Raw genomic sequence first — 19,270 nt, forward strand, 5'->3', positions numbered from 1 at the left:
CGCGACCACCGGGGAAGGCCCCCGCTGCAGCGTTCGGCGTGGAGCGCCCACTTGCTTCTTTGCCACATCTTCTCTCTCCTCTGTCCAACCTCAACCCCGGGCCCCGGCCCCCCGCCCGGCCTGCCCCAGCCCCCCACTCTGAAGCTTTCCATCTTCCGGAGCTCCTGAAAGCAACGCACACGGATCCGCGCTGAGCTCAATACATTCCCCAAGCCCTGCCCTGTCCTCCGCGCACCTGGGCCTCCTGCATTCGTGAGGCTCTGGCCCTCTGCCCCCATCATCCCTCCCCCACCCCCTTGACACCTACCCAGGTTTCTGTCCTCCCCCCAGCAGGAATCTGTGCCCTCGTTCCTCCATCTCCCAGTCACTCAAGCACCCCGCCCCCCGCATCCCCATCTTCTCCTTCTCCTCACTGAGCCTGACTACCTCGTCTTCTATCCTCTTTCTCTCGGGCTGTTGCCCTGGTCCCGGGCTGTTGCCCTGGTCCCGGGCTGTGAGCCTCTGTCCAGTGGGATGTTCCAGCTTCCACCTGCAGCCTGCAGTTCTCTCCTTCCTCCCCTGCTCCTCCCAAGAGCCCAGCTGGGTACCCTGGAAGAAGGCAGGGGAGTCATTCCCTACAGGGGAAGCTGGTCACTCTGGGTCTCTGCCCACCTCCCCTCTCACACACACACTGGCCAGGGAATGAGTTTCTGCTTGATGTTGCAGGTCTGGATGGGAGGCACAGGGACCTTAGGAACAAGCCTCCCCCTCAACTACTCATTCTGGCTTTTCTCTTTCAGAAAACCGGCCATTCCCGCCGGGCCTTTGGCCGACTCACCCATGGTGCGTGGACCGTGGGCGTCCTTGCTCTAGCCCATGCCTACTCCTCCTCTTGGTCCCTGTCCCTCTGTGAGGCATCGAGTTCCTGAAGACAGCCCATGAGATGTGGAACCCTCCCACTCACCCCCACACTTATCTACCACCCACCCGACCAGGCCCCCTGTGCCCTACAGCTGAGAGAGGACCCAGCAGAAGGGAGGGCGGCTCACTAGCACACCCCTGCATGGACTGGGTGCCCTGTTCTCCATGTGAGGCCTAATGGGAAGGAGTTCATTGCCATGCTTTGGCAACCAGTACGTGGCTCCTGCTTGTCATGGCAGCCAGAGGGAAACTGAGGCACAGAACCTGCTAGAATCTGGGAAAGTTGAAAATACTCCCAGGAACCTTTTCTCCTAACCTAACCACTGGGCATTTTTGAGGACGATTCAACAGTAGAAGGGAGGGACCTTGAGGAAGGTGCCTGTCACATCATGATGCAGACAGATAAGGGGTTGGTTTGCAAAGAGGGGTCAAAGCACAATGCAAATATTGTAATAGAGGGTGGGCCTGACTCCTAATGGGAGGCCCAGGTCTGCGGCTGGACTGGACACAAGCAGGTGTGTGTGTGTGTGTGTGCATGTGTGTGTGTGGCCAGTGGCAGCACCAGTAAGTGCCAAGGATACCAGAACCACTGGGGCAGCTGGAATAACAAGCCCAAGTATGGGGGTCCCCAGTGCTGGGCACATCCCAGGTATCTCCCTCCCCACCCATTGCCACAGGACACCTCTGGGGACTGGGTGCCTCACGCCCCTTCTGTCTTGACTGCCCTCCATGCCCTGCCCCACAAACGCTCTGATAACAGTCTGTCCCTGTCTCTCTCCTGCTGCTCCTATGGAAGCGAAGTTTTCCGCTCCTGCAGAAAGCAAAGTTACGGTAGGAAACTGGCTCCTGCTCTAGCCCCCCGCATCCCCCCCTTTCCCACCCGGCCCCGGCCTCTCCTCACCCTGCCTCAGCTGCACCCGATGCCTTGCAGCTGGTTTGGGGTAGAGGACAGGCTGGCCCCGCGGTTGGTCGAGTGCCCTGGCAGTACGACTCTGAGGTGACTCCTCTTTGTTCCTGGGGTACTGGAACCCAGACTTTAGAGCCTTGGAACCTAGGACCTGATGATTTTGGGGCTGCACAGGGGCTTAAGCTTTCACTGACAAGGGGAGGAGGGAGAAGGGAGGAGGCTCTGATAATCCATTAAGATATTGGCAGGCGGGGAGGGGGTGGCAGTTTGGAGGGCCCTACGGAGGTAAACGTGAGTAACCAGGGGCCCAGAGATGGAGCCAGGGCACTGGCATGGGAGGGGTTATCCTGAGCAGCCCAGGCTGGGCAGGGGATGTGGGGAGCAAAAGAGAGGAGGTGCTGGCAGCCCTGCCAGTGATAAGATGGAGCCTGCTGTTGGCAGGGAGGCAGAAGGCAATAGGGAAGAGTTGGAGGCAGAGGGAGGAGGGCCCTGCCCACACAGACCCCTTCTTCTCCAGACTCAGAGACGGCTGAGGATGACATCAGCGATGTGCAGGGAACCCAGCGCCTGGAGCTTCGGGATGACGGGGCCTTCAGCACCCCCACGGGTGAGCTCCTGGGGTGTACAAAGAGCAGGCAGGCGGGTTTTCCATAAGGGGTGCCTCAGTCTCACGGTGCTCCTTTCTCTAGGGGGTTCTGACACCCTGGTGGGCACCTCCCTGGACACACCCCCGACCTCCGTGACAGGCACCTCAGAGGAGCAAGTGAGCTGGTGGGGCAGCGGGCAGACGGTCCTGGAGCAGGAAGCGGGCAGTGGGGGTGGCACCCGCCGCCTCCCGGGCAGCCCAAGGCAAGCACAGGCAACCGGGGCCGGGCCACGGCACCTGGGGGTGGAGCCGCTGGTGCGGGCATCTCGAGCTAATCTGGTGGGCGCAAGCTGGGGGTCAGAGGATAGCCTTTCCGTGGCCAGTGACCTGTACGGCAGCGCATTCAGCCTGTACAGAGGACGGGCGCTCTCTATCCACGTGTAAGTAACGGCCTTACCTGGGCCTGAACTGCCCCATCTCACCACGCTGTCCTGCGCTGCCCTCACTGCTCAGTCAGCCTCCACCCATCACCCTGCCCCATCCATCTCTCTGTGCATTTCTTCACCCCCTGCTGCCACTCCATCTTCCCACACTGCTCCCTCCTCCTCCTGAGCCATCACCGCCCACATCCCCCTGCTCCCACCTGTCCTGGCTCACCATGCCATCTCCATGGTCTCCTGGACCCTGCTGTCCCTTCCTTGTCTCCTCCAAGATCTCCAGTTTCTCAGGGGCCCTCTTTTGCCTCACCCATTTGGGCTCCAGTTGTCCCCAGGATCCCTCCCCCGACCCGGGGGCCCCCTTGGTGCCTGCTGTCTCAGCAGCTGCTGCCTTTTCATCTCTCTGCACATTCCTGTTCCCATGTGGGCCTTTTTCTGGGAGGAACAGAACCTTTCCACACGGCAGCTCCCGGGAGAGCAGGAGAGAGCAGGGGAACAAGCCAGCAAGCAGGAGAGAGAAGAGAGTGAGGTGGCCAGGGGCAGATGGGGCAAGGGGCCTGTGAAAGCAGGAGGCCATGGGCTGGGGGTGGCAGGGGGCTGGGAAAGGGAGGGGCTGGAAATGGGGCCAGGCCAGAGGGAGAGGGCGGGAGTGATGGTGGCAGGGGGCTTGCAATGATTTCTCTCATGGGAAACCCCTAAGTCCCTGAGGGTGGGATTCAAGGTTGTCCCAGGAGGGGGTGTGAGGAGCGGAGGTGTTGGAGGCACTGGAGCCATTTTTGGAGATTTGGGGCTCGCAGATACAGGAGGGAGTGCTATAGTGGAAGAGGGGAGTGGCTGAGAATAGAGGGACTAGGGCATTTGGGGAGCTGAGGGGGGCCTGGTTTGTGATGGGTATGGGTGTGGGGGCAGCTACCACCGTGCAGGAGAAAGAAGGGGCCTGGTGGGGGAGGCTGCTTTGAGGGTGGTTAGAGCAGGGCTAGCGGTGGGCAGGGGAGAGGGCCAGGGCTGGGCCACGGCCAGGGGGAGGCTCCCTTGGCTTATCTTCTTGGCCTTACCCGGTGTTCCTGTGCCCTGGACTTGCCTTTCCCTTCCTGCCTTTCTTTACCAGGCCCCAGCCAGAGCCTGGAGTTGCTATGGCAACTTCGGAGGAACCCATTTCCTTAGTGATGTCTATGGTACAGAGACTGGCCTGGAGCTCAGAGCTGCCGGCAAGAGGCCTCCTCTGCTGTCCTCAATTTCTCTCCAGGCCTCACCCACTTCCCAGAGGCTCTTCCCTGGGGACTCTGCGGCCCTTCCCCCAGAGAAGACACTTCCTCCCTGCAGGTGGCTGGCTGGGGTTTCTGTCTCTCAGGCCACTCTGCATTGCCACCACCCCTTTTAGCCCCAGTCAGAGGTGGGTCTGTCATGTGGGTGGCTGACTCAGGTAGGCTAAAACATCCTTAACTCGGGACCCCTAGAACTGCTCATGGCTGGCACCCTACTACTTGTCCTCCCTTCTGTGCCCCTGGAAACCCAGACACTTTGGAGGAAATAAGGGCTCAGGATTCTGACTGCCTGGGTTTCAATCCTAGCACCAATCATTTCCCAGCTGTGTCACCTTGGTAAGGCATTTAATCTTTTTTATGCCTCAGTTTCTTCATCTGTAAATGGGGGTGATCACAGTTCTTACCTCACAGGGCTGTTGTGAGTATTAAATGACTCAATGCATTTTAAGCACTTGGTACAAGCCTGGCACTCAGGAAATATTCAATGAGCCATTTTACAGATTTTTATTAAGCTCTCTCTGATGTGTCAGGTATGATAATACATTTAATTCCTTTTTTTTTTTTTTTTGCTTATCTTTATGTGTGATGTGCCCCCTCACCCACCCCCTCCTCCCCGCAAGGGTCCAGATGGGGAAAACTGAGACCCAGCTCTTGGGCACCAAAGCTCTGTTAAGTGAAAGGGATACTCTGGGGTGACCGGCTCCTTCCCTCCTCCTTTTCTCCCACACTCCCTATTCAGGCCCACTTAGTAGCTATTTCTGAGCTGAGTTATTTCAGAGCATATCCCTGTGGGGGGGGGCCTTCTGTACTTCTCAGGGGGGATTTCTAAGGACTCAAGGTAGCTTTGCCAGGGGAAGCACAAGTCAAAGGCCTATCGGGGGGCAGACTGAGCAAGGAGAGTAGGAGCCTGGGCATCCCGTTGCCACCTGCTGTGTCCCATCAGTGCTCGGGGTGGCGGCAGGTATAGGCTCAGGTCTACACAGCAGCTAGGGAATCCTAGGGATGGGGCACTGCCCCCCAAAAGGCTTGTGCCTGGTCCAGGAGGCTGTTGCTTGGCTTCCAGGGACCACTAGGAAGGGGTGTGCCCTGCTGATGATGGGCAGGGGTGTGGGGGCCAGCTGGGGGCTGGAATGAGTGGGTGGCTGCATTCCTGAGAACGCCCCTCCCCACCCCACCCTCTTGTCTTCCCTCCCCACTTCATCCTTTGGGTCCTAAGCCTCATTCTTTTCTCTCCCTCATGCTCAGTTCTGTTTCCGCTGTTTCTCGGCTTCCAGGGCTGGGGGGAGGAGGCTGGCCCGAGTCCTGGGGCTGAGTCTGTACCAAGACCCAGCCATTAGCCCAATCTTGTGGTTCCAGAGCCGCCGGCCTCTCCCCAGCACCTGCTCTGGCTGTGCGCTCCTCGTGGGGGTGGGGGTGGGGGGCAGGAGGATCTGGCCCATGTCACCCCCAAGCCTGCCCAGCATGCCCACCACCCAATTCCTGTCACAAGCTAAGGGTCTAGGAGAGGAGGCCCCCTGAATCCTCTACCCTTCTCCATCTTGGTTCTGCAGCAGCGTCCCTCAGAGCGGGTTGCGCAGGGAGGAGCCCGACCTTCAGCCTCAACTGGCCAGCGAAGCCCCACGCCGCCCTGCCCAGCCGCCTCCTTCCAAATCCGCGCTGCTCCCCCCACCGTCCCCTCGGGTCGGGAAGCGGTCCCCGCCGGGACCCCCGGCCCAGCCCGCGGCCACCCCCACGTCGCCCCACCGTCGCACTCAGGAGCCTGTGCTGCCCGAGGACACCACCACCGAAGAGAAGCGAGGGAAGAAGTCCAAGTCGTCCGGGCCCTCCCTGGCGGGCACCGCGGAATCCCGACCCCAGACGCCACTGAGCGAGGCCTCAGGCCGCCTGTCGGCGTTGGGCCGATCGCCTAGGCTGGTGCGCGCCGGCTCCCGCATCCTGGACAAGCTGCAGTTCTTCGAGGAGCGACGGCGCAGCCTGGAGCGCAGCGACTCGCCGCCGGCGCCCCTGCGGCCCTGGGTGCCCCTGCGCAAGGCCCGCTCTCTGGAGCAGCCCAAGTCGGAGCGCGGCGCACCGTGGGGCACCCCCGGGGCCTCGCAGGAAGAACTGCGGGCGCCAGGCAGCGTGGCCGAGCGGCGCCGCCTGTTCCAGCAGAAAGCGGCCTCGCTGGACGAGCGCACGCGTCAGCGCAGCCCGGCCTCAGACCTCGAGCTGCGCTTCGCCCAGGAGCTGGGCCGCATCCGCCGCTCCACGTCGCGGGAGGAGCTGGTGCGCTCGCACGAGTCCCTGCGCGCCACGCTGCAGCGTGCCCCATCCCCTCGAGAGCCCGGCGAGCCCCCGCTCTTCTCTCGGCCCTCCACCCCCAAGACATCGCGGGCCGTGAGCCCCGCCGCCGCCCAGCCGCCCTCTCCGAGCAGCGCGGAGAAGCCGGGGGACGAGCCTGGGAGGCCCAGGAGCCGCGGGCCGGCGGGCAGGACAGAGCCGGGGGAAGGCCCGCAGCAGGAGGTTAGGCGTCGGGACCAATTCCCGCTGACCCGGAGCAGAGCCATCCAGGAGTGCAGGAGCCCTGTGCCGCCCCCCGCCGCCGATCCCCCAGAGGCCAGGACGAAAGCACCCCCCGGTCGGAAGCGGGAGCCCCCGGCGCAGGCCGTGCGCTTCCTGCCCTGGGCCACGCCGGGCCTGGAGGGCGCTGCTGTACCCCAGACCTTGGAGAAGAACAGGGCGGGGCCTGAGGCAGAGAAGAGGCTTCGCAGAGGGCCGGAGGAGGACGGTCCCTGGGGGCCCTGGGACCGCCGAGGGGCCCGCAGCCAGGGCAAAGGTCGCCGGGCCCGGCCCACCTCCCCTGAGCTCGGTAAGGCCTCAGGGAGGGCTGACAAGGTGCCTGAACCCCCGTCGGGGGGCGTTTGTGGAGAGCAAGACTGCTCAGCAGGAGCCGGGGGGTCGGGGGTTTCGCCTGGGGCTGCTAGCCAGCTGCAAGGGTGGGTTTGCCAAAGAAGGCACAGACACAGGCTCGACTTTGAGTGAAGGATTGTCAAAGTCCTTGTGCTAGGACTGCTACTGGTGAGGCAGAGCGTGAGTGTTGTGATGGAGGCTAGGTGAGGCTGAGATGTGAGCTAAGACTGGTGCCCAGATGCCCGCCATAGCTCCCCTGGGTCCAGTGGCCTGCTAGGCTGTTGGATCAAGAACCACTACTGGGGGGATGCACTGGTGGGAACCTAAGGACCCCCCTCCATACCCCCAATCCCTCTGTTGGGGAGAGATGGTAGATGGTCTGAAATAATTTTCAAATCCCTGTTACAGACACGCTTTGTGCCAGATAACTCTTTACTCTGCCTCTCCCACCCGGGCACCATCCCCTGACCCATGTGTGGCCACCCAGCCTGCCCTTCTAGCCTCCTCACCTCAGGCTTACACCCCGCATGGCTGAGCTCACTGTGGTCCCTACACAATGCCTGCCTGTGTGTTGTCTCCCAACCTTCCCATGGATGATGACCAACACCACCAACAGGAGAATGGCTCTGCACCCCACCCCTCATCCTGCACATCAACTCGAGGCCCACTCCTGGAGAGAGGCAGAGGAAGGCGTCCTTGACCCACTTCCACTGCTCCTCCAGAATAGATGCCTCTACCTGCTGCTCCTGGGAGACCCTGCCAGGATCTCTTTCATTGCACTTACCATACTGTATTTTTCTTCATCAAAATTATTTTGCATTTAAGTATTACCACCTTAGAATCTTTAGAGATAATTAGGCCCCTGTCCATCATCCTCCTGGACACCATTATTGCAAACACACAACTATGTGCCAGCATTGTGTTAACTAGGCCCTTACAGATGTTATTTCATTTCAGCCTATATGTCAGTTTCAGAGGGTCTTTTCCCCTCCATCTTACAGATAACAAAACTGAGGCTCAGAGAGGCTAATTTGCCCAAGGTTTTGTAGCTAGGAAACAGCAGAATTGGGATTTTCACTGCTTTTTTGGCTATGTACATTGTCCTTTATCTAGCTTATGGAATGTCAGAGTTGGAGAATGCCCAGAGACCCATGACAGTGGAGTTTGTCATCTCTCTGTATGTATGAGCTTCCTGTAAGCAGGGACCACTGGTCCTTCCTCTAGTGTTCTTGGTACCCATACAGTACTCAGTATGCCGGGAGTACAGGGTCACTATTTGGTGAACGGATGAAATCAAATCTGATCTTCGTAGGCCTCTCAGACTGCCTACCATTCACTCTTTTGAATCTGACGGCTTCACACATTTGACAATTCACCTCGTGTTGCTCTGTGACACCGCTGTTATTGCTTAAGTCTTGGGTTGCTTTTAGCTTGTTCTTTGTCTGTTTGAAAGCTTGTGCCCCTCCAGGTGCCTTGCATGGGGCCTGGTACGCCATACATGATGGCTGACGTGTTAAAGACATACACAGTGCAGTCCTGTCTTTCTCCAGAAGCCAACGCTCTAATTGTGGATGAAGTTGAGGAACGGCCACACTAACATGGAGTCAAGGCTGCCCTGACCTGTTTCGAGAATGCTCCTTCTGACTTCCTTTTTTCCCTAAGGACATTCAGGAGGCAGACCCTCTTCTCCCCAAGTCCCTGCTTTCTAGAAGCCCCTCTGTCTGGGTTTGGCTTTCTAGGATGCAGGCCACCAGGACTCTCTCTCCCGCTGTCATCCCTGCAGGGATCATGGCCCCTTACCCCGTTATTCCTGTGTCCGGCAGAGTCTTCGGATGACTCCTACGTGTCCGCTGGAGAAGAGCCCCTAGAGGCCCCTGTGTTTGAGATCCCCCTGCAGAATGTGGTGGTGGCACCAGGGGCAGATGTGCTGCTCAAGTGTATCATCACTGCCAACCCCCCGCCCCAAGGTGAGCTCCAGCACTGGGCCAAGGTGCGGTCGAGGTTGGGAGGGGGTGTGTGAGAAGGGAAGGGGAGGTTCCCCCGGACTCCTCCAAGGGAGGGGTGGGAAAGAGGGGAATTATCCCCTCCACGGGGGCTGCCCTGACTTGGGTGTGTGTTCAGGGACATTTCTCAGGACCCCCGAGAGAAGGGAGGGCAACCTGAGCTTCCCAAAATGAGGGCGGACTCTTCCAGATTCCCTGGGGTGCTGAGAGGAGAGGTTTGGTCTCCTGTGTGGTGTGTGGGGTAGGAGTAGAGATTCTCAGTGGGCGCCTGTGGGCCGTGGCGAGCCGGGTCCCTGTGCCTCCCCACAGTGTCCTGGCACAAGGATGGGTCAGCGCTGCGCAGCGAGGGCCGCCTCCTCCTCCGGGCTGAGGGTGAGCGGCACACCCTGCTGCTCAGGGAGGCCAGGGCAGCAGATGCCGGGAGCTATATGGCCACCGCCACCAACGAGCTGGGCCAGGCCACCTGTGCCGCCTCACTGACCGTGAGACCCGGTAGGGAGCCCATCAACCCTGGGGCTGGGTGGGGGCAAGCCGTGACTCTCCCCTGGCCCAGGCCCCAGTCCACCTCCCTTCCCACTCTCAGCCTTGAGCTTGGGCACCCCGCCAGCATACTTAGTCCATGCAGTCCCTTCTGGGTGTCGGCAGCTTTGGTGAAAGCGTTTTAAATGGCCCTGGCCTCAGGGCAGGGGCCAAATCCCCAAGGCGCACAGAAGGCTGGCCAATTCATGAAGTCAGTGAAATTTGTGTTTAGCCATCCTCTAAATGCCATCCTCCCATGGCATTTCCCTGAACAGGGTCCTGTGGGGAAAGCAAATTGTCCTTGAGTTTCCGAGAAGAAGAATCTCTCCGCTCACAGGGTTTAAGAGCCACCACAAGCCTTCTGAAGTCATTTCCCCTGTAAGACAGTCCCCCCTCCCAGTAAAAAGAGATGCTTTCGAGTGCCACAAGCCACTTCCCCCCTACTTTTCTTGAACCCAAAGTTGTAAAAAGGGTACAGCCAAGAGCACTTCTTGGGCTGGCAGTGCCGAGGCTGCCTTGTTTTCTATTTTTGTGAAAGCCCTTACTTGGTGTCAGACTACTTTCTTTGGGATTCAGCCCAGTTTCTTTCTGGTTCAGCTGGATCAGTGTCGGTGTACATGGCCAGTTCAGCTCATTCAGCTTGCGGGGCCTGACAATGCACTGACCCCGGGCCTGGGGTTCGGGGAGGTGAGGATGGTCAGGGGGTATTACAGAAGGAAAACACACTCAACCCTCAAGGGGGTTCCCACTGGGTGACCAGACCTGGATCAGAGGACCTAGGTTGGGGGACAGTGCGGAGCAGATGGATCTAGTGCCGAGGACATCCGAGCCGTTGCTTAGTGTTCTGGGATGCCTGCGCTGAGAGACGTTGGTGCCCTGAAGGAGGCTGGGATTTTAGACCGGCACGGGGAAGGCGGGACATGCCAAGAGGGGGAACAGCACATGGTGTTCTGTCCCTTCCTTCCATGAAGTGCTGCAGGAGACAAGATGGCAGAGCCTGTGTGCCCATCCCAGGGCCTCAGCACCTGAGCAGTGAGGGAGTTCTTGATGCATCTGATCATAGTCTCGTGCTCCAGTAGAGCCTTTGGTTGCACGGTCTGGCTTGTGCCACTGCAGGTCTTCATCCTCCTTAGCTGCATATCCCTCCCGGGGCCCATTTTCCAGGCTTTCTCCTCCTCCTACCCCTCCTACCCCGCTGAATCATGCCCGTCCCTCCACCACATGCTTCTGTCCTTCCATCACCTCCGGGATCTGGCTTCTGACTCAGCTCCCAGCTCCCCTGAGGGGGCCCAGGCCTGGCTCCAGGACCCCAGTCAATACCTGGCTTGGGCTGAAATTTGGCGAGGGGTGGGATGGGGGTGCCCCGATACTGGCTCAGGGCCATTTGGGAGCCTTTTATGGTTGGAAAGGCAGCTTGGGGCGAGGCAGTTGTCAGCCCTTGACTGAGAGTTCTGTATTTGCGGCATAGAACCTCCTGAGCTTCAGTTTCCTCATTTGTAAACCGGAGATAATGACACCGTCCTCACGGATGAAAGCGAATGTGTGAACGAGCTTTATGAACTGTAAAGCTGTAGACAAATGTTAGTTGTTAGCGTTATTAACGGGTGCTGTTGTGTAGAAGAGCTCAGGTTTCTACAAGGATCTGGGAAGTGCCTTATCCTTCTCTGTCCCTTTCTTCAGCCCATCTGTGCCTTAGGGACTCCACCTCTCCCCTTGGAAGGCCCATATCCTGCAGACCCTCTGTATTTCCCAGCCCCTGTGTCCTCAGCTCATCACAGCATCTCGGCACCTCTGCCCTGGGGAGCCAGAAAGCCTTCATTGCATTAGTCTGTTGCATCAGGCATTACAGCAAGACAGCCACCTCCTTAAGTCAGGCTGGCTCGGGGGCCCCAGGGCCTGGGGGGCAGGCATGTGGGTCCAGACTTGGCTCTGGCTGTTGTGGAGCAAGCTGACTTTCTTACCCTACAAGGCACTGTTTAGTCCAGAGTGGCTGGATGGGGGCCAGTGGACTTGAGAGCAGCAAAAGTGGGTGGAACCTGGGGATGGCACAGACATCTGGCAAGGGGTGGTCCCAGGCCTGGAGTCTGCAGGCAGTGAGGGGTGGGGCCAGGGGAGGGAGTCCAGCAGTTTGCCCGTAGGCCTGGTGGGGAGCAGGTAGAGGGAGGCAGTGGGCAGTGTATTGTGGGAAGAGGCCTGCGTGCAGCCACCGCCCTCTCTTGCTCCTTCCCCTCCCCCTCTTGCTCTTCATGCTGCCCCTGCCCAGTGCTATGGTAACCAGGGCTGGCTGCCCAGTTCCCTCTTGGGGTCCACCCCAACAGGGCCTGCTTTTGAGGACCCACAGATCTCAATTCCTGGTTGGGAGCCATGGTAACCAGGGAATGGATAACTAGAGAATGCGGCCCCATGGACCATGGTTTAGGGGCAGGGTCTGTGCGGAAAGGAGCTGGTCCTCACCAGCTCCCCTGGTCCCTCCCACCCTTTCCACCCCACTGAATCATTCTGTTGAGACCACAGCCATTCTCCCAAAGCGGATGTGTGGATGGGGGCAGGTGGCTTGGGAGTGTGAGAAGTGTGCTTAACCAAAGCATTCCCCACCGCTGCCCACATCCATCACACAAGTATTTATTGAGTGCCAACCAGGTGCCAAGTGCTACAGCTCTCTAAACAGTTTCTTCTGTTTGGACAGTGTCATAGACTTTCCCAAGCCCTTTCACGTCTCTTCCCTGGCGATAACATTGTGCCATACATATCCCTTGGAGGGACGTGTGGCAGGTGGGGACATTCCCATTTTATGGATGAGAAGACAAAAATGTGAATTGAAAAGTGAGGTAGAGCTAGCACCAGGCCAGCAGCCTTTATTTAGCACTTGCCATCTGCCTAGGGATGTTTTCAGCAACAACTGATTTAGGGTGATGGAAATAACTGCCCATGAAGCAAATAAACTTAGTGTGGGGTGCAAATAAAAGTAACATGACTGGGCTGAGTGTGGTGAATCACACTTGTAATCCCAGCACTTTGGGAGGCTGAGGTGGGTGGATCACCTGAGGTCAGGAGTTCGAGACCAGCCTGGCCAACATGGCAAAACCTTGTCTCTACTAAAAATACAAAAATTAGCCAGGCGTGGTGGCATATGCCTATAATCCCAGCTACTCTGGGGGCTGAAACAGGAGAATCACTTGAACCCAGGAGGCCGAGGTTGCAGTAAGCCGAGATCGTGCCACTGCACTCCAGCCTGGGTGATAAAGTGAGACTCTGTCTCAAAATAAATAAATAAATAAATAAATAAAAAATACATGACCAGGTAGCACTTATTGAGTGCTTCATATATACCAGGCCCTGTGTTGATTGGATTATTTTGTTTAATCCAGCCTTATGAGGTAGGTTCTATTATTATGCCTATGTTACGAATGAGGAAACTGAGACTTGGAAAACTTTAGCCAATTGCTCTCTGGACACAGTGGCTGACACCTGTAATCCCAGCAGTTTTGTCTGGAGCAGCATTGATCAATAGACATTTCTGTGATGATGGAGATGCTCTATATGTGTGTGGTCCAGTATGGTAGCCCTAGCTACATGTGGTTAGTGAGCACTTGAAATGCAGCTGCGGTGACTGAGGAACTGCATTTTAAATTTAATTTCATTTTAATAACTGCTTTTAAATAGTCTCAGGTGGCTAGTGGCTGCCTTCTTGGGATGGTCAGCTCTAGGAGCTTAGGGCCAGCTGGAGGCTGGAGCTATGATTTGAAACCCTGTCTCGGTCTCTCAAGCCTACACTCCTAACCATGACACTATCCCACCCCCCTTTCCTGTTGCTCTGAAGAAGTTCGAGGTTGAGGTAGAACTGAGCTCATGAGCTCACTGGGAGGGCACTGGTGATGCCCTCTGTGGGTGGGTCCGACTGGGGGCTTTCTCTTCTTCCTCTATTGACTCCCCACCTCCAGCACAGCTGTGGTCCTTCTGTTTCCTTGCATGCCTGATGTGAGCACACCCAGCTTCCCCACCGTGCGCCCCGAGAGGAGGCCCTCTGGGTGCTGGGCAGGAGGAAGTGGGAGTATGGGAGGCCCCATGGGCCTGGGCCTCATCCTCCCCACCTCCAGTCCTTCCCTCAACTACAGGTCTCCTATATTTGAGCCCAGGATTCTTGCATTTTCCAGCCAAGACCTTGGCCTCTTCATTGTACCTTAGCTGGTCATGGTTTTCTTGGCTGTAAAGTGAGGATCTTCACACCAGCCAGGCCACCTACTTGGTGAGATTCCTGAGGGTCTGTGAGGAGGGCAAGTTGGACACTTGGGACAGAGGATATATAGCTCATCGAAGCCCATTCTGGTCCCACTCATAGAATCAACATGACCACAGCAGAAAATAGGTTGTTTATTGGGGGCCATGAAAACAAAAACAAGGAAGAAAACCTTAGCATCCATGTCAGTCCCTGTCTTCTCTTGCCCCTGGTCTCTGGCCACCTGTGGCATAGTTGCAGATTCTCCCTTGTGATGGCAGTGGCTGCCGTTGGGGAGGATGCCACATGGCCCCCATCGTCAGTCCTCGATGGGGGTTTGGACAACACCAGACAAAGCAGTGTGGCATGGTCCCCTTGCCCAAACTCAGCCCTTCCTCTACCCTCCTGTCTGCCAGAAACAGGCCTGCCTGACAGGTGGCCTCCCCGAAGCTGGTACCTAGAACGGGGGCCATCACTCACAGCCTGTCAGAAGAATTGAGAGCTCATTTACTGTTGTTGCAGCCACTTTTCCTCACCTGGAGCAAACTAACATAGTCATATATAAGAAATTCATCATGACCGGGTGCGGTGGCTCACGCCTGTAATCCCAGCACTTTGGGAGGCCAAGCAGGGTGGATCATGAGGTCAGGAGTATGAGACCAGCCTGACCAACATAGTGAAACCCTGTCTCTACCAAAAATACAAAAAATTAGCCGGGTGTGGTGATGGACGTCTCTAATTCCAGCTACTTGGGAGGCTGAGACAGGAGAATCACTTGAATCTGGGAGGCAGAGGTCTCAGTGAGCTGAGATCATAACATTGCACTCCGGCCTGGGCGACAGTGCGAGACTCTGTCTCAAAAAAAAAAAAAAAAGAAAAGAAAAAGAAAAAAAAGAAAAGAAAAAAGAAAAATTAATCACTTCTGGGGCTAGGTCAGGCTGACCATGTGAAATGATCTGTTGGCTTGTACATTTTGAACTAAGCCTGAAACATTCTCAGTCCAAGGGGAAACATTCATGTCAGCACCCTGTGGAAATGCCCACCTCCTGGCCAGCCGTGTCCTCCCTTTCCCTGACTTTTCCGCAGTGGGGTTACCACAGCAGACATTTCAAGAACTGCCTGTGGAGGACCTACTGAAACAGCACATGTGGAGGGCCAGCTGGGAAGGGCCAAGCCACAGGCAAATGCTTGCTAACCTGCAGCCTATCACTCCCTTCCTCAAGAATCATAAGGAGGAAAAACCGTTTATGGACTGGGTGCCGTGGCTCACACCTGTAATCCTAGCACTTTGGGAGGCCAAGGCAGGTGGAACACTTGAGACCAGGAGTTTGAGACCAGCCTGGCCAACATAATGAAACCCCGTCTCTACTAAGAATACAAAAATTAGCCAGGTGTGGTTGTGGGAGCCTGTAATCCCAGCTACTGAGGGAGGCCGAGCCAGGAGAATCGCTTGAACTTCGGAGGTGGAGGTTGCAGTGAGCTGAGATTACACCAGTGCTTTCCAGCCTGGATGACAGACTGAGACTGTCTCAAAACAAAAGCAAAAACAAACAAACAAAAGAATTGTAAAGAGTCCGCCTTGCCTACAGAGTAAAGGCTGCACACCTTTGTGTGGCCTCTACCATCTGCACCCATAGGGCAAAAGGAGCCAGAGGCCTGAGGCTGGCCCTCGGGTGGCAGTGGGAGGCACCTGCTTGAACAGTGGATGCTCCACTCCTTACTTCTTTACCCAGTTTATAGACAGACAGTTGAGCTATAGTCCTCTGCACACATGGCTTTTGCTTCAAACTTTTCCGCATGCACTTTCCTCTGCCTGGAATACTTTTCCCTTTTTCCTGCAAACTGCAATTCCAATACTGCCTCTTCCTTCAGTTCTCTCTTTTTCCCTGGGCCAAAAGTCATCTCCCGCCTTCTATACTCCCACGCCCCTTACCTGCTGCTCTCTTGCTACCTCATACTTCCTGCTTGCTCTTGTAGTCACTTGTGTATCTGGTTTGTCTTCCCCACCACCCAGAAGGCTCCTGAGGACATGACCATGTCTTTGCCACTCCTTAGCACTGGCAGCTGTGCCTGGGGGCCCTCCTGGACAGTTAGGGGCTGTGTGGACTGCAGAGCTGTATGTGAGGTGGCAGTGAGTAGGCAGAGAGCCCCATGACTTTTCAAGCCCTTGAGCAACGTGGGTGACACACAGAGGTGAGGCTAGGCATGACACCCAGCCACAAGGGTCATGAGGCTCTGCCTATGAGGGGAGCTTGGCAAAGAGACCATGGAGCGGTGGTCCTCAGAGTGAGGCCCCCAGACCAGCAGCATCAGCATCACCTGAGTATGTGTTAGAAATGCAGTTTCTTTTTTTTTTTTTCCCAATAAGCGTTTTGCACTCTTAAGAAATGCAGATTATTGGCCCCAGCCCCGACCTACTGAATCGGAAATTCCGTGGGTGGGGCCCAGCACTCTATGGTCTAAGGAGCCCTCCAGGTGATTCCGATGCACAGAAAACCTTGAGAACCACTGCCATAGAGTTAGAGATTGTGCCCAAGATGGGAGACCAGGTCATGCCAGGGGAAGCACATGGGCTGTGTAGCCAAACCTCCTAGGTTCAAAGCTCTGCTCTGAGGTTGAATGGCCCAGTGAAGGGGGCTTAGTGATACCACCTCTTAGGGCTGTCCTCCTCCCATAAAGATCAGCAGTGGTCCCTAAGCTTTCATGTGCCTAAGAGTCATCTGGGGTGCTTTTTAAAATGCAGTTTCCTGACATCTCATTTCAGAAAATCTAATTCTGCAGGCTGGAGTAAGGTTGAGGAATCTATATTTTAAATAAGCCCGAGGTGGTCCTGATGTGAGTAGGTCAAGTAACATTCTGAGAAGCCCTGAAGCAAAGGGCTGTGTGCGACACCTTTTATGTACTAGATAATTCGCAGTGGTGGCTGCAACTCTGTCTATTGTGAGAACACATCAGGGGACGCTGAAACAGTTGGGGTCGGTGGATGTGCTGGTCTGAGGAGAGGGAGTTCCCTGTGTGCTTCCTAACGCCAGTATTTTCATCAAATGAGTTTGACCTGAGAGTGATGTTGAAAGGGCAGACATGAGCATGGGGTCAGCGTGGGGGATTGGGAGCCAGTGTGAAGGGGCGGTACTTCCGTGGTGGGTTGTTCGGGGCCATTGAGTGTATGTGCCTATTAGGTTTAGGGGGGCACCTGCCCCCTCCTTCCTGGCTGGTGTAACTGTGTTTGCCACAGTGAGAGTTGGGCTTGTGGGTGCAGCAGGGCTGGGATGTCAGGGACTGGTTCCAAAGATGGTTTTTGCTATGTGGCCAGGGAAAAAACTAGGTGGCACCGGATTCTGGTATGGAGCCTCAGGAATCCTCGATCAGCTTCCTTGGTCACTCACTTTTGGAGGTATGGAGGGGCAGAGGCTACTGCCTTGTCTGGAAGAGGCCTGGGCTGCTCTGACAGTCTGTCTCTCCAAGGGGCTTGAGGATGGGGGTCTGCTTCATGGCTAGATGCCCTCCAGCATGCTGTTCCCCTGGGCACCACCAGGGGTCTCTGAGGCTCCCTGCAAACCTTGACCATCTGGCCTTCAGCTCTGCTTCCGTTCCCAGTCCCTGGGCCCGTGAGCCTCCTCAGTACTGTCCAGCCTGGAGGTGACCCTGGGGCAGGACTCCAGGCTCCATAGAGGGGTAGGACCGCCCACCTGCGGAGCCATGCCTGTGATCTCAGCATCAAATGCCTTAAGCACCAAATGCCATTCTGACTTCCCTCCCCAACCCTACCTCAAGACAGCCAGCCTGAACCGTGGGCCCCTCCTCTGCCCGGCCCCCAGCCCTCCTTCCTTACTGGCCATGCTGGGAAACACAGGTCATGGCTTGGGAATGTGGCCCCGGGTTGCGGGGTGAGGTGATAGGAAGAGGGAGAAGGACATGTGACCCCTGCTCAACAGCCCCCTTCTCTCAGGTTCTGTGTCCAAACCCTTTCCCCATCCCAGATACAAATGGGTTCTCATGATAAGGGGCCATTTGGGGGAGGCAGCCCCCGCTGTCCTCTTTAGCGGGGCTAAGGTGGGTGGCGGGCAAGTTGCCAACAGGTGCCCTGGCGGTTTGGGTAGGAAGGCTGGATGTGGGCTTAGGCCCTGTGGTGGCTGCTGGCCAGACCTTCCATGGCAGGGATGAGGGGGCAGAGGTGGGATTCTGGGCCCCCTCAGATTCTTCCCCCACCTCTGTGAAGGAGGGCAAAGATCTTGACAGTTCTCCGATTTTCGGGGCCAAAGAAAACAGGTATGCCCTGGCTCTGTAGTATTTGAGGCTCGTTAGCGCATTCCCCGGTCAGGGATCTTGGTGGTTCCGTCAGAGCAAGGGGCAACACAGGGAACATTTCCCACGGGCACCTTCTTTGGTGGACGTGTCAGAACAAATGGGTCAGGGCAAGTGTCCCTATTGGCACAGCGCAGTGCCACCCCTCCCCTGTCTTGCTCGGGGACGGAGGCCCCACACCTTGAGTCAAGGCACCGCAGAGCGGGCTTTGCTCTTGTCAGGGTCTGAAGCTGTAAGGAGAAGAAAGGCAGATCCCGCGGCTTGGGAGTGAGCAGAGTGGCTAAATCCAGACGGCCGCGCTCCGCCCTCCCTCCCCTCTCCCCTCTCCTCCCCCTCCACACCAGGGCCCAGGCTGCCTGTGGTCTCGGCAGGCACCACCTTCCTAGCCAGCTGCCTGCCGGCCTGCCATCCAACCTCCTCCTTCCCCTCCTCAGGCGCCTTCCCCTCCCCCAGGGCCTTCTCCGTGCAGGGCCTCAGCTGGGTCAGCCGAGTGAGTGGGGCTGGGCAGGCTGGACAGGCTGGGCTCCTGCTCCCTGGGGAGCCACGCTGGGGTGGGCAGTGGGCAGGCAGCAGGAGGGCCTGGTGCCAGGGCAGAGCCTTCAGGACAGGCACAGGCTGGGGTCTGTGTGCAGAGCCTCGGGGTGAGTTGGGGTACAGCCCTGCTGGGGGCTTGGGGTGGGGGGACCCTGGGGAGAACCTAGGGGGCTGTGGCAGTTTCATGTCTGTATTTGGCAGTCGGATAGGAGCCAGCTCAGCGAGACTGGGACCCTGGCCAGTTGCAGGGGAGGGCGTCAGGGCCCTGGGGACACCCCTCCCCCAAGGCTGACTCTGGTGCCCCCCTCCTCTTCCCCCAGGCTGAGCTGCCCTTTTTGGTGGATGACTCCAGCTCTGCTTTCCTATCCCTCGAGCGTTTGGGGGTGCAAGCTGTAGGGCTGTGGCCAACAGGTGCCCCTGGGGTTTGCACGGCAGGAAGCTGAGAAGGGAAAGGGGGAGGGGCAGGCTAGATAGTGCCGCCTCATTGGCCCTGGACCGAGGTCGGGATGTGACTTGTCTGCGGTGTGTGTTCCTCTGCACCAGGCCCAGCTCACCCAAGAAATGGGCGTCCTAGCCATGCTGCTCCAGGGTTCCATAGACCTGCTTCCCCTGCTTTTGGAGCCTGCAGTTGGTAGTTTAGGTCTCTAGTCCATGTCAGGAATGTGGGTGCCCTGCTCCAGTGGAATTCTCCCACCAGGCCCAGGAGTGG

At 57.4% G+C, this 19,270-nt stretch overlaps 1 protein-coding gene across 43 annotated transcripts in view, besides 7 other annotated features; it reads left to right on the plus strand.

The window, feature by feature from the left end:
• SPEG (striated muscle enriched protein kinase) overlaps window positions 1-19,270 on the plus strand; it is a 58,787-nt gene that overhangs the window by 7,486 nt on the left and 32,031 nt on the right. For 6 of the 43 annotated variants that reach the window (XM_047442891.1, XM_011510479.3, XM_017003159.3 and 3 more), the window contains exons 2-7: window positions 1,702-1,731; window positions 2,325-2,414; window positions 2,497-2,833; window positions 5,646-6,943; window positions 8,808-8,951; window positions 9,297-9,479. In XM_047442891.1, the coding sequence (XP_047298847.1) occupies window positions 1,702-1,731; window positions 2,325-2,414; window positions 2,497-2,833; window positions 5,646-6,943; window positions 8,808-8,951; window positions 9,297-9,479 (2,082 nt within the window). Of the gene's footprint in view, window positions 1-779; window positions 823-1,696; window positions 1,732-2,324; window positions 2,415-2,496; window positions 2,834-5,645; window positions 6,944-8,767; window positions 8,952-9,296; window positions 9,480-18,403; window positions 18,669-18,765; window positions 18,973-19,093; window positions 19,202-19,270 lie in introns of those variants that run through there. The other 37 variants (XM_005246239.3, XM_047442919.1, XM_047442898.1 and 34 more) reach the window with 27 other exon arrangements.
• Window positions 6,796-7,403: an enhancer, noted in NCBI's record as "H3K27ac-H3K4me1 hESC enhancer chr2:220313846-220314453 (GRCh37/hg19 assembly coordinates)". NCBI's record gives its function as "activates a minimal SCP1, AML or CMV promoter by ChIP-STARR-seq in primed H9 embryonic stem cells {active_cell/tissue: H9 hESC(primed)}" and the evidence as "EXISTENCE:reporter gene assay evidence [ECO:0000049][PMID:30033119]".
• Window positions 8,862-9,666: an enhancer, noted in NCBI's record as "H3K27ac-H3K4me1 hESC enhancer chr2:220315912-220316716 (GRCh37/hg19 assembly coordinates)". NCBI's record gives its function as "activates a minimal SCP1, AML or CMV promoter by ChIP-STARR-seq in naive H9 embryonic stem cells {active_cell/tissue: H9 hESC(naive)}" and the evidence as "EXISTENCE:reporter gene assay evidence [ECO:0000049][PMID:30033119]".
• Window positions 9,667-10,470: an enhancer, noted in NCBI's record as "H3K27ac-H3K4me1 hESC enhancer chr2:220316717-220317520 (GRCh37/hg19 assembly coordinates)". NCBI's record gives its function as "activates a minimal SCP1, AML or CMV promoter by ChIP-STARR-seq in naive and primed H9 embryonic stem cells {active_cell/tissue: H9 hESC(naive and primed)}" and the evidence as "EXISTENCE:reporter gene assay evidence [ECO:0000049][PMID:30033119]".
• Window positions 9,667-11,275: a biological region, named in NCBI's record as "P300/CBP strongly-dependent group 1 enhancer GRCh37_chr2:220317062-220318261".
• Window positions 10,012-11,211: an enhancer, noted in NCBI's record as "P300/CBP strongly-dependent group 1 enhancer chr2:220317062-220318261 (GRCh37/hg19 assembly coordinates)". NCBI's record gives its function as "activates an origin of replication core promoter dependent on BRD2, BRD4, P300/CBP, MED14 and CDK7 cofactors, with strong dependence on P300/CBP, by STARR-seq in HCT116 cells {active_cell/tissue: HCT116}" and the evidence as "EXISTENCE:reporter gene assay evidence [ECO:0000049][PMID:35650434]".
• Window positions 10,471-11,275: an enhancer, noted in NCBI's record as "H3K4me1 hESC enhancer chr2:220317521-220318325 (GRCh37/hg19 assembly coordinates)". NCBI's record gives its function as "activates a minimal SCP1, AML or CMV promoter by ChIP-STARR-seq in primed H9 embryonic stem cells {active_cell/tissue: H9 hESC(primed)}" and the evidence as "EXISTENCE:reporter gene assay evidence [ECO:0000049][PMID:30033119]".
• Window positions 18,354-18,534: a silencer, noted in NCBI's record as "fragment chr2:220325404-220325584 (GRCh37/hg19 assembly coordinates)". NCBI's record gives its function as "represses an EF-1alpha promoter that drives an FKBP-Casp9 reporter gene in an ReSE screen in K562 erythroleukemia cells {active_cell/tissue: K562}" and the evidence as "EXISTENCE:reporter gene assay evidence [ECO:0000049][PMID:32094911]".

This window comes from Homo sapiens, chromosome 2 (assembly GCF_000001405.40).
Source record: "Homo sapiens chromosome 2, GRCh38.p14 Primary Assembly".
Classification (NCBI taxonomy): Eukaryota; Metazoa; Chordata; class Mammalia; order Primates; family Hominidae; genus Homo; species Homo sapiens.